Source organism: Homo sapiens, chromosome 1, assembly GCF_000001405.40.
Source record: "Homo sapiens chromosome 1, GRCh38.p14 Primary Assembly".
Taxonomy (NCBI): Eukaryota; Metazoa; Chordata; class Mammalia; order Primates; family Hominidae; genus Homo; species Homo sapiens.
In genome coordinates this window covers 235498104-235510947 of record NC_000001.11, presented here as the reverse complement: position 1 = coordinate 235510947, position 12844 = coordinate 235498104, and the positions used below count along the sequence as shown (strand labels likewise).

The following is a 12844-nucleotide window of genomic DNA, read 5'->3' as shown; positions in this document are numbered from 1 at the left end:
TGTCTTCTGCAAAGATTATCTGGTCGTCATATCACAGGCATTTAATTTAAAAGAATTCAACCATTGGCTTAAAAAAGAAAGAGAAGCAATCATTTAAATAGCACGCATTACTAGGGCAGCGTGTACCCACCCGAGGCAGAGTGCCAGGAGTCCTGAAAAGAATATCTGAATGATTTTAAGGTTTCCCAACTATTCACCAAAAAAAAAAAAAAAGTGAAATTTGTTGATTAAGTGACCAGGCAAGATGGTTTCCTTGAGGAAGAAAGTGAACAACTAAAGCCTGACGAGAAACTTTAATGATAAAGAATTAGAGGGCCAGGCACAGTGGCTTATGCCTGTAATCCCAGCACTTTGGGAGGCTGAGGTAGAAGGACCGCTTGAGGTCAGGAGTTCGAGACCAGCCTGGGCAGCATAGTGAGAGCTCATCCCTACCAAATAAGTAAATAAGAATTAGAGGAATAAAAAAATACTTTTACAGAATTACATATACAAAAACATACATACTATATATTTTAAACTAAGAGATGTTCAAGGGCAATTTTTATTTCACTGGCTGATCGAATTGGGCCCTGTACTAGAGAAAAGAGAACCAGCAAGAAGTGACCCTCATATGGAAGGGATGAGAAGGCGCTTGGAAGTGTCATTAAAGGGCTGGGGTAAGGCTTAAGGCAAGAGATAGCCAGTAGGGACCTCTATTGGGGGACCATAGGAGCAAGTTTATCTCATATCAAGTTAAAAGTTTTCTGTCTGTATCTTCTCAGGCTAAATTCTTGTATTTATTTATTTTTTTGAGACGGAGTTTCACTCTTGTTGCCCAGGCTGGAGTGCAATGGTGCCATCTCGGCTCACTGCAACCTCCGCCTCCTGGGTTCAAGCAATTCTCCTGCCTCAGCCTCCCGAGTAGCTGGGATTACAGGCATATGCCACCACTCCCGGCTAATTTTGGATTTTTAGTAGAGATGGGTTTTCTCCCTGTTGGTCGGGCTGTTCTGGAACCCAGACCTCAGGGGATCCGCCCGCCTCAGCCTCCCAAAGCACTAGGATTACAGGGGTAAGCCACCGCGCCCGGCCAATCCTTTTACAAGTCTGTTAAACATGCCAGCCATGTCTTAGCTGTGACTGGGGGATAAACGGAGGCACTATGTCTGTGTTTCGGGTCAAAGCAGAAGAATCTGGGGCTGTGGCCTCGAGAAGTGGTTATGAGTTGAGGTGGTTGATAGAGAACACTAGAGCAGTCTGGAACAAGAGGTGGCAACGAGACTGATGATGACCTCGTGGAAAAGAGAACACGCCTTGGTACTTAGAAATATTGAGAGAGGGGACTAGAATTTCTGGAGTTATACAGGTTAAGGGGACAGATTGCATACATGGGGATTGAAAAGGAGGGTGATTCCTCCCTTTCCATCACTGGAAAAGTAAAGAAATTTGGAAAAATTCAGAATATATATACAAGAAGAAATATCTGGGCTATAGTGGCTAAGTCTGGAAAGAAAGATTGGGGTGGGCTGAAGGATTCTAACATTATATATTTTGTTTACACTTGTATTACATTACTTGTGTTTGTTATGATAACCATGCATTAGTTTTTTATTAAACATAAGGTTTAGGGGAAAGTCGAATAACTATACAAATTATTATAAAATTCATTAGAAATAGGCCGGGCTCACGCCAGTAATCCCAGCACTTTGGGATGCCAACGCGGGTGGATCACCTGAGGTCAGGAGTTCAAGACCAGCCTGGCCAACATGGCAAAACCCTGTCTCTACAAAAATACAAAAATTAGCCTGCTGTGGTGGTGCGCTCCTGTAGTCCCAGCTACTCGAAAAGCTGAGCCAAGACAATTGCCTGAAACTGGGAGGCAGAGGTTGCAGTGAGCCCAGACCTGGATGACAGAGCGAAATTCTGTCTCAAAAAAAAAAAAAAATATATATATATATGTGAGAAATAAAGAGTATTGAGAGGGAGAATTGCCCTCTGGATTACAAAATATTATACAACTAGGATCATTAGAGTATTACGGTACTGATGAAAGGACAGATGAATGCAAAACTGTGGCTTGGAAACAAATACTATTATGTTAAAAATTTTTAATAAATTGAGGTGATGTCATAAACTAATAGGGAAATAATGGGCCAGGACAATAGTTAGCTATATGAAAAAAATTAATTAATTTTGAGATCCTTGCATTACACCATATTCCTAAATAAATTCCAAATGGATTAAAACATTAAATAAAACAAACAAGAATATTGACCAGATCTCACGATCAGAATCATCCTAAAATATGGAAAAAAATTAAATATTGATCATTTGAATTTATAAAAATTTAAAGTGTTTTTGTGTCCTAAAAGTTATAAAATTAGAAGGCAAGAAAACTGAGGAAAAATAAAGGGCTTATACAAATGGATAAAAGGAAGATACATGACTAATTAACAAAAGAAATAGAAACAGCTAACGAACATAAGAATATTCAATCTCATTGATGAAAAGTTTTGTCCTTTGAATTAATAAAGAACTTTTTTAAAATATGAGGGTGAGATAAGAGAAACATATTGAAGGCAGACATACACATTGAAACAATAGCAGTATGAATAAAGCGGCTTAAAAATAATATCAGAAAAGGAAATTATCTGAAATGTGGAAAAAGTTTTGTGCACAGAAGTGCCAGTATTACTTATTATAGTGGAATAATGGAAACAACCTGTATGTCCAATAATACGGGACCAGATAAGAAATTATAGTGTGGACAAATGATTAAGTTATATTTTCTGAGACTACTAATTAAATATGGGAAGGCTTATAGGTTAGGTGAAAATAGTTGGATATAAATTCTAACTTACAGTATGAATGGCAAATTTTTTTAATGAAAAAACTTTTAAAAAATGTATGAATTGTATGTAGTATGATTTCTTATATTCTTCTGTTTTCCAAGATCCTTTTCATAATCATGTATTACATTGGTAATCAGAAAAAAAAATTCTTCTTTAGAGCCTTCACAATAAAGTCCAAATTCCTTAGCAAAGTTTATGATTACAACCTGGCCTCTGCCTTCTGTTCACCTTCTCATCATTGCCGTGTTCCTAACTTGCACTAAGGTCATACCAATTGCTTACATTTCCCTAATTGCCGTGTCATCACTAGCTCAGGTTTATTTATTTTATTTTTTATTTTTTTGCCTACAGTGCTCTTGAATGTCCTTCCTACTTTCTGGCCCTGTTAACTGGCCACTTTGACTTCAAGCCCCGGCCCTGTATTTTCAAGAGATAGCCTCCTCTGGGGACCCTTGAGTAGAGTTAAATATAGTTGGCCCTCCATATCCCTGGGTACTGCATCTATGAATTCAACCAACCTCAAATTCAGGAAAAAAGCAAACTTGAATTTGCGCATGCCATTGAATCCACGTGAATGAAGTGATGCGTAGACATCATATTAGGTGTTATAAGTAATTTAGAGATGATTTCGCGTATATGAGAGGATGTGTGTATGTTATATGCAAATATTATACCATTTTATATAAGGGACTTGAGCATCCATGAATTTTGGTATCCATAGAAGGTCCAGAACCAATCCCCCATGAGTAGAGACAGCTGTACCCCCTGCTTTGTGCTGCTCTAACATCCTGTGCATTCCTTTCTCAGAGCACTTATCACATTGAATTGCCATCATGGTTACCAACCACCCTAGTTTGTCTCTCCCTAATTCTAATTCTGTTAACTTGTTCCTACTTACCCTATGAGCCCCTTGAGTGCACAGACTGTTTATATCACTACTGAGTTTTTTTATTCTTTCCATTACACATACTGTCACTTTTACCTTTTTTTTTTTTTTTTAGAAACAAGGTCCCACTCTGTCACCCAGACTGAGTCCTGTGGTGTGATCATAGCTCACTCTAACCTTGAACTCTGGGGCTTAAGTGATCATCCTGCCTCAGCCTCCCGAGTAGCTGGAACTATAGGCGTATACCACCATGCCCAGCTAATTGTTAATTTTTTGTAGAGACGAGGTCTTGCTATGTTGCCCAGGCTGGTCTTGAACTCCTGGACTCAAGTGATCCTCCCACCTCAGCCTCCTAAAGTGCTGGGATTACAGGAATTACTGTCTTGCAATCTTCACTCACTTTAGTCATGAGATTATTAGGGGACAGTAGAAAACAGGTAAGTGGAAAGGTCACTGGTCCTATGAACAAGTACTATAGACAGCTCCCACTCTGATGTGATTTGAAGGATGTTACAAAGTTATTCAAAACTATTTTTGTTACAAGCTTGTCAGAGAGCCAGTGAAAAACTTCCCCTCTAGGTTGTTAAGTGAAACAACACCTTGATTATTTAATATATTCGGATGACTTATGTTTATTCTTCCCTTTAGTGCTCATTGTAACTTTGAACAGTTGTTTAAATACTGCTAGTTGATACTGCAATCTGTGTCATTTCAATCCCACACTCACAATTCCCCTACCCGGCCCTAATTGTTATATTTTCCAGAGCAGGAATAACCTTCTAACATGCTGGTTGAGTATATTTCTTTATTATGTCTATAGTCTGCGCCCTACTCCCCATCAACACAGGATAGGGATCTTTATTTTGTTCACTGGTGTATCTAAAGTACCTACAAAAGTGTCTGGTACATAATAGACACTCAATAAGTATTTGTCGAATGACTAGCTCTGCTGAAATGAGGGATTAGTCCTCTTTTTAGGATAACTCATTCTAATTCACAAAATGAAAATTTTACAATATCAACAGAGGCCATTTACTACCTTTCCTGAGGATAAAAATAGTATACTTTTTCTGGCAACCAATTATTACTTTCTTGCCTTTTCTTTTTATTTTTTTTTTGTTTGTTTGTTTGTTTTTGAGACAGAGTCTCGTTCTGTCACCCAGGCTGGAGTGCAATGGCGCGATCTCGGCTCACTGCAACCTCCGCCTCCTGGGTTCAAGCGATCCTCCTGCCTCAGCCTCCTGAGTAGCTGGGACTACAGGTGCCCACCACTACGCCAGACTAATTTTTGTATTTTTAGTAGAGACAGGGTTTCACCATGTTACCCAGGCTAGTCTCGAACTCCTGCCCTCAAGTGATCCGCCCACCTCGGCCTCCCAAAGTGCTGGGATTACACGCATGAGCCACGGCGAGCCAAAGTACTTTTTTCCCTTAAGCCTGTTTGAGTTGGGTCTTCTGTCATCCAAGACTTTTTTTCAATAATACAGTCACCTTCTGTTTCCACACTTGTGGAAACTTAAAAAAAAAAAAAAAAAAACCGCGGCCGAGCGCGGTGGCTCACGCCTGTAATCCAAGCATTTTGGGAGGCCGAGGCGGGCGGATCACCTGAGGTCAGGAGCTGGAGACCAGCCTGGCCAACATGGCGAAACCTCGTCTCTACAAAAAAAATACAAAAATTAGCTGGGCGCAGTGGCGGGCGCCTGTAATCCCAGCCACTCAGGAGGCTGAGGCAGGAGAATCGCTTGAACCCAGGAGGCGGAGGTTGCAGCGAGCCGAGATCGCGCCATTGCACTACAGCTTGGGTGACAGAGTGAGACTCCGTCTCAAAAACAAAAGCAGAAACAAAAACCGCCCCATAGCCCAGCCGCTCGTTCTCATCCTTCTCTCCCATCCTCACCCCAGTGCCTTCACCGCCCCGTCCCCGCTTTCCGGCTGCCTCGGCGCGGGCCTGGTGGGCCAGGAGGGCTCCCACCCGGGGCAAAGCCTCAAGACGCGGGGCCGGCGTTCTCCCTGGAAGGCTCGCTGCGGCCACCCTTCCCCAGGTCCCCGGAGCCCACGTTCTCCCAGCTCGCCCGGCTCCCGTTTCGCTCCCAGCTCCAGTATGAACCCGGAGCACGTGCAGTTCTACCCTGATTGGCTCGTCATCATCGTGTTCCACAGCCTAGTCCCCAGCTCGCTGTCTGTCACCCTGCGTTCCCAGAGCACAGAACCGGGCAAAGAGCCGGGAACCCACGGCACCAGAGCTAATCCCTGATGAGTCACCGCTCCAGGCGCGGACACTCGGGCTTCCTCGCCCCACTCTACGGGCCAAGGAGACGTCAGCAGGATCCCACCTCCCACAGCAGTCGAGCAAGAGAGCACGCGGAACAAAGGAGCTCTGCGTGATTTCACACAAGAGCCACTCGGATTTCCTTCAAATCTGAGGCAAAGCGCATTTCCCTTCGCGGCTCCGGGCAGCCTCCGAGCACCGGGTCTCCGGCACTACCTCCCCTGGGCCGTGGGGTGGCAGCAAACGTCAAGGGGGATGCGCATGCTCTGTGTGGGGCCTCGCCCTTCGCCCCCGCGGCCGCCGAGTGACGGAAGCGCGTGCTTAGGCTCATGGGAAATGTGGTTTCTAAACCGCGGGCGCCCCCTGCCTGGGCCCAGAGCGGGACTTCAGCTCCCGGCCGGCTGGCTGGCGCGTGTGGAAACGCGGGAGGAGAGGGCGGGGCGAGTGGGAGAAAAGGTGGGCGGAGCCGGTGGGAAGGCCAGGCGGAGGGGGCGGGGCTTCGGCCGGCTAAGCCGCGGCCACCCGCGGTCTGAGGGACCGGAGGAGCGGGGCCGGGAGCTGCGAGGAGCCCCCCAGACGTCGCCGAGCGCGAGGGCGGGCGTGCTCGGAGTGGTCGCTCGTCAGCCGCCGCCCCTCAGTCTCCGCACTTGCAGGTCCCCTCCCTCTCCGCCGGGACGCGGGAGAGCCCGGCTCGCGGCGGGGGCGGCCAATGCGAAACTGGCTGGTGCTGCTGTGCCCGTGTGTGCTCGGGGCCGCGCTGCACCTCTGGCTGCGGCTGCGCTCCCCGCCGCCCGCCTGCGCCTCCGGGGCCGGCCCTGCAGGTGAGGTCCTGGGGCCGGGCGGGTTGGCGGCCGCCGGGGGGGTGGGAGGCCCGGCTTGGTGCCGCGGGGCTTCGCCGGGAATTGTTGGAGGCGGGGGAAGGGCCAAACGCGACGGTCCCCAGACGAAACAAACGGCTCTTTTCATCCTTGGAGCGTTAACATCGGGCAAACTTGAGGGAGCTTTTCTCTTTTCGTGTCCCCGCCTCTTCTCACTTCCCCGTTTCCCTTAACGCCCGCAGAGCCGGCGCCCGCAGTTGCAAGTCCTTCGCCTGTCCCCAGGCCTGGTTAGTGATGTCCGACGCCGCCCGTTCGCCCGGGAGCGGAACCTCGTGTGCCCTTCAGCCGCCAGCGCTTTCTGCTTTGGGAGCTCTGGCTCTGAAGTTGTTTTCTTCCCCCCCAAGTTGTTGGTCTTTCTCGGTCAAGACTGGGGTTTTAGTGCCGTGGATAATGTGTGTGCGTGTTTTCAAAGGTGGCTCGGTTTTGCTTTTAAGGAATAACTTTGCTGTAAGAATATACTGTAGTTCGTATTCTTGGATTATGATGTAAGTCGGTTAAACAAATCTAGACATGAAATAGGGCATGGCCGAGAGTTGGAGTTGTTCCTGTGAGTTTGGATCGCATAACCTGCTAATGCAGTTTACATGGAAATATCAAATTCTTTAACGATCGTGTCCATTTGCTCTAAAACTTAATCTCTCGTAGGAATGAAACCTTTGTTCTTGTTTCGCGTCACAGCCTAATAGAATGCTTTACTTACGGTGCCCAGCGGATTGTTTTGTTAGTGGGTTCCACCACCCTGAACACTACTTTAGCTTTCCCTGTATCTCTTGTCTTCTTCTTTAAGGGCTTGCCCTAGAACATGAAAGAAACCTAGAAAGCTCTTTTAAATATTATGTAATACTTAATTTTGTAACTATACTGGGACTTTTTTCCCTTACCATCTCTCCCCAAAACAGCTGTTTTCTAATCCAAAAGTTCTTAAAATTAGAATTGAGTGTTTGCAGTTCAGCACTCTATGCCTTATAAGTAGAAAGTATTCGGCAATCCTCAAAACAGTCTCAGTTATATGAAATTATGTTGAGGTTATTTTGGTAACAATCTCTTTTCCTATTAGATCACTAGCTCTTTGAAAAGGATTTGTGTGACCTGAATAGAATTAAACACTATTTAAGTGATTTAATGAAAGTACAGTGTTGCTATGCACTTAACCAGTTGATGGGGTCAGGGTTTTGCTCAGTGTTTTTTAGGTTTTTGTGAAGTGAACTAAGAAGAGAACGCCATATATAAAAAATGCTTTGTAACAGCTGCTTGTGTGTTACAGGTTTCTCTCTTTTGTTATGAGTGAGCCCTGCTGGAATCTCCTTGTAGAGCGTCATTAAGTCTGTTTATGGCCTTAATGGTTGTTTAGGGTTCAGTAAAACAAACAAAAACTGAAATGTTAGTAGACTTCAAACTGAAATCTTAGTAGACTTGCTAGGCAGTTTTCTAGTTTGAGACAAGTTTTTCCTACTCCCTTACTGCACTTGAAGGATGATGCCTTTATCTGCCATCCAGTAGTTAGACCAGGCTAGATTAAGGAAATGAAGAAGTAGACCATAGAAAGGAACAGGGTAATAACGTAGGTAAGAAGATCAATACTAGTTATGTTAATTAACTTTGGCTTTGAATGAGTACTGTGTATCTGGTCAGATAATAAATGGGATTTTTTTTTAAGTTCCGGGATACGTGTGCAGGACGTGCAAGTTTGTTACATAGGTAAACGTGTGCCATGGTGGTTTGCTGCAGCTGTCAACCATCGATATTTTAATAATCTAAGTTAAACATGACTGGCCCGGCGCGGTGCCTCACGCCTGTAATCCCAACACTTTGGGAGGCCGTGGTGGGTGGATCACCTGAGGTCAGGAGTTCAAGACCAGCCTGGCCAACATGGCGAAACCCCGTCTCTACTAAAAATACAAAAATTAGCCGGGCATAGTGGTGCATGCCTGTAATCCCAGCTACTAAGGAGGCTGAGGCAGGAGAATCACTTGAACCTCGGAGGCGGAGGTTGCAGTGAGACGAGATTGCGCCACTGCACTCCAGCCTGGGTGACAAGAGCGAAAGTCCATCTCAAAATAATTAATTAATTAATTAAACAAGACTGACTCCTACCTTTCCTTTTTTCCTTTTGGTACTTTCAAAGCTAAAAGCAGTGGAAGCATCTTAAATGCTAAAATTTCCCATAATTCCTTTACCATTGTGCTGTCACCATGTTGAAACTAAAATAGTTGGGTGTTTTTACATTTTAACCCTTGTACTTTAAGCCTAACAGGAGAAAAAAAAACCCAAGATTTTGCTAAGTATTCTTTTCTTGAATTAACATTTTTAAATGTATTTTTTTTTCTCTTCTGCTGCTTTGTCTGTCTTCAGTCTCATTAAGTAATGGCAGTTTCTTTGTTTTTTTTGAAAGAGCGATTTACCTTCCCTGAATATTAAAAAAGGTTCTTTGGCTCGCAGTTGATTCAGCAAATATTTGAGAGCCTACTCTGTGCCAGCTCCTATCGTAGGTGTGGAATTACAGCAGTAATCAAGCTAAACTTCCTGCCCTCATGTAGTTTACAATTTAGAAGGGAAGACAGAGCATCAGGAAATAATTATAAATATCACAGCGGTAGTGATAAGTATAGGGAAAAAAGATAAAGCAGTGTTAAGAGATTAAAGAGATGGTTTTAAATAGGTCAGGGAAGTCCATTCCATTCTGAAGAGGTAACAGTTGAGCAGGGACCAGAATGAAGTAAGTGAGTCACCTTAGTACCAGAGTCAGCAACTTTTTTAATGTGATAGGTTCCCTTAAACCAGTCAGGGAAAGCAACTGGTAAAGAGGAAGTGAAATCCAGTACACCTGAGGGTGACAGAGGAAAATGCAGGTGGAGATAACCATCGGACTAAGGAATCTAAACATAGGATATCTTGATTACAAAATGCTCGTTTTGGGTAATGCCTTAAGTAGGAATTATTTAACGGTTAATTTAGAAAAATGATGTGACAAAAGAAGGCTTCGCTTTCTAGGGTATCTGGAAAGAAAGAAACCAAAACAAAGGAGCATATTCACTCAACAAGTACTTGAGTGTTAGATTCTGTGCTGGATGCCTAGTCCCTTCTCCCAAGGTGCTCACAGTATCTAATGGAAACAGATGTAGAGCAAGTAGAAGGTCAGAAAACAAATTGAGCTTGCTTTGTAATTTTGCCTGGGGTGAGTTCTTCCAAAATTATCCCTATATGCTAATTGTGTCTCTGTGCTTCAGTTTCCTTATTTATAAGATGATGATCTCATAGACTTATTGTGAAGATTCAATTAATGAAACACCCGCAACAGTGCCTGTTTCATAGTAAACACTCCATGAGTTTGAGAGAGGAGTGGTAGTCTGGTGGCCGCTGATGCCTGTGCTAGTGTGGTGTTTTGGGAGGTGTCTTTGGTAGTGTGTATGATGATTGTCTTTATCATTAGATCTGTGACAGGCTCACATGTTTTCTTCATTTTCAAGATTTGTATCTATTTGTGACTCTTCCAAGAGCATGCATATCAGAGTGGAATTTTGGTGTGATTTTTAAGACTCTTGGGCTTATTTTGAGCAATCAATTTTGATGTCAACCTTCTTTAGACTTTTTTGATTATTATTTTGAGGCACAGTTTCACTCTGTCGCCCAGGCTGGAGTGCAGTGGCACCATCTTGACTAACTGCAACCTCTGCCTCCGGGTTGAAGCCATTCTCCTGCCTCAGCCTCTGTTACATGTGTGTGCCACCACACCCAGCTAATTTTTGTATTATTAGTAGAGACTGCGTTTTGCCATGTTGGCCAGGCTGGTCTCGAACTCCTGACCTCAAGCGATTCATTCACCTCGGCCTCCCAAAGTGCTAGGATTACAGGCATGAGCCACTGCGCCAGGCCCTCCCTTAGACTTTAATATACCTTTGGATGTCCACTCACAGTGCAGGGTTGAGCAGGTTGCCAGACTCTCAGGATATATTACATATTAAGAAAAGAAATAGTTCTTACTGTAGGGTCTCAGAAGAAAACAATACCCCAAAATAAGGCCTCAGAAGCAGCTGTCTCTGACCTGCTGCTGCTGTCCTCTCTCTGGCCTTGCATTCTCACCTGAGGCTAGCTGTAGAAACTAAAATCCCTCTTCCCCAAAGCCAGCCATAAAACCTAAACATATTACTCTAACTAGCCCCCACCACCTCCTTTCTATATAAAAATTACCTAACTTACCTTCTTTTATTAAAGGTCATAAGAACCTCATACCAGAGAGGGTCCTATCCCATACCCAGTAGGAAAGAATGTATACTCAGAGAGGACAAGAAGAATCTAGACAGGCCTTGCTGGGTTTTCCAACTCCATCTGTTAACATTAGATCCTACCCTTTCTGTCCAATCTTAATTCCACATAGCTATCTATACTTTGTTAAACCTAAGCACAGAAATGGGCACTTTCTCCTGTATCTTTACTGATCAAATAAATTTATATGCCTTTTCTCCTGTCCATCTCTTGTCAGTGATTTTCACCGAACCTTCAGAGGGAAAACTTTCCCTTGGCCCTTACGTTGCCCTCAGGGAGCTTGCTTGGGATTGTGATTTAGTCCTGACATTATGAAGATTTTGTTTACTGCTGTATCTGTGCCATCTAGAACAATGAGCATAGGAGATGCTCTGTCATTTGAGTGAATAAATCAAGAGAATAAAACTGGCGCAGTTTGATGTATTTTCACAAATTGAACACACCCAACTAATCACCACCCAGATTTAAAAAAAGAAAACTATCAGTGCTTCAGAAGTTCCCTTCATGCTCTGTTTTGTCACTACCAGGGATAGTAACCAGTGGCAGAAATTTGGCTACTTTTGTACTTTATATAAACAGAACCGTCTAGTATCTACATAGTTCCTATCGCCTGTTTATCTTAATATGATGTATTAATAGAATAATGTTTAATGATATGATTAACATGTAATTTTAATGGCTGCATAGTATTCTGTCATATAGCTACACCATAATTTATTTAATGAGTCCTTTATGTGTTTATGTAGCTTGCAGTTTTTCGCTATTAATAGGTGACACTATGATTAATAAAGATCTTCTGAGTGTATCACTGATTATTTCTTTAGAATGAGTTCTTAGAATTGCTGGACAAAGTTACACCATTCTAAATTATTTGACACATTGCCAAATTGCCCTGCAGAAGACTGTACCAAATTACATTCCTTCCCGCAATGAAAAAGAGTAGCCTTTTTTTTTTTTTTTTTTTTTTTTTTTTTTTTGAGAAGGAGTCTAGCTCTGTCACCCAGACTGGAGAGCAGTGGCGGGATCTTGGCTGACTGCAACCTCTGCCTCCCAGGTTCAAGCAAGTCTCCTGACTCAGCCTCCCGAGTAGCTGGGATTACAGGCATGCACCACCACACCTAGCTAATTTTTGTTGTATTTTTAATAGAGATGAGGTTTCACCATATTGGCCAGGCTGGTCTCGAACTTCTGACCTTGTGATCTGCCCTCCTCGGCCTCCCAAAATTGAAGCTGGGATTATAGGCATGAGCCACCGTGCCCGGCGGAGAGTAGCCACTTTGTTGAAATCACTAACAACATTTCCTTGAAGTACCATCATTTAGTTACAATCATTTAAGAAGACATTTGTCAGTTTGAATGTAGGAGAAAACTGGTGTCTCATTGCTCTAATTCAAACTTGATTCTTATTGAAGTTGAACATGTTTTCATAGGCTTGCTATTTGCCTTTTTTCTTTTCTGAATTATCTTTATGTCCTTCTGTATCATGTTTACTTCTTACCACTTTCTTTTTTTCCCTCTGTTTCTAGACACTGGAGTCAACTAGGTACCCTGTTCTTGTAACATAAAAGGTGATAAGAGTTTAGAGCCAGATTGGTAAAGGGAGCTAGAAATTTGAGCAACATTCTTACATAGGTATTTTATTATGCATCTGCTTTGGGTTTTGTACTGTGTAACACAGTACTCAGGAGTCTATTGGACTAATTTACATTAATGGTAT

At 43.5% G+C, this 12844-nt stretch overlaps 1 protein-coding gene across 8 annotated transcripts in view, besides 4 other annotated features; it reads left to right on the top strand.

Annotated features, from left to right (window-relative positions):
* Positions 5718-6394: an enhancer, noted in NCBI's record as "H3K27ac hESC enhancer chr1:235667854-235668530 (GRCh37/hg19 assembly coordinates)". NCBI's record gives its function as "activates a minimal SCP1, AML or CMV promoter by ChIP-STARR-seq in primed H9 embryonic stem cells {active_cell/tissue: H9 hESC(primed)}" and the evidence as "EXISTENCE:reporter gene assay evidence [ECO:0000049][PMID:30033119]".
* Positions 5718-6967: a biological region, named in NCBI's record as "H3K27ac hESC enhancer GRCh37_chr1:235667854-235668530".
* Positions 5898-6017: an enhancer, noted in NCBI's record as "active region_2802". NCBI's record gives its function as "activates an Ori minimal core promoter by ATAC-STARR-seq in GM12878 lymphoblastoid cells {active_cell/tissue: GM12878}" and the evidence as "EXISTENCE:reporter gene assay evidence [ECO:0000049][PMID:35858748]".
* Positions 6328-6967: a silencer, noted in NCBI's record as "silent region_1988". NCBI's record gives its function as "represses an Ori minimal core promoter by ATAC-STARR-seq in GM12878 lymphoblastoid cells {active_cell/tissue: GM12878}" and the evidence as "EXISTENCE:reporter gene assay evidence [ECO:0000049][PMID:35858748]".
* The window catches only part of B3GALNT2 (beta-1,3-N-acetylgalactosaminyltransferase 2), a 64657-nt gene continuing 58308 nt past the window's right edge, over positions 6496-12844 (top strand). For all 8 annotated transcript variants that reach the window (XM_006711749.4, NM_152490.5, XM_017000394.2 and 5 more), the window contains exon 1: positions 6496-6807. In XM_006711749.4, coding sequence (XP_006711812.1) covers positions 6696-6807 — 112 coding nt within the window. In that variant the 5' untranslated portion in view covers positions 6496-6695. The remainder of the gene's footprint in view (positions 6808-12844) is intronic.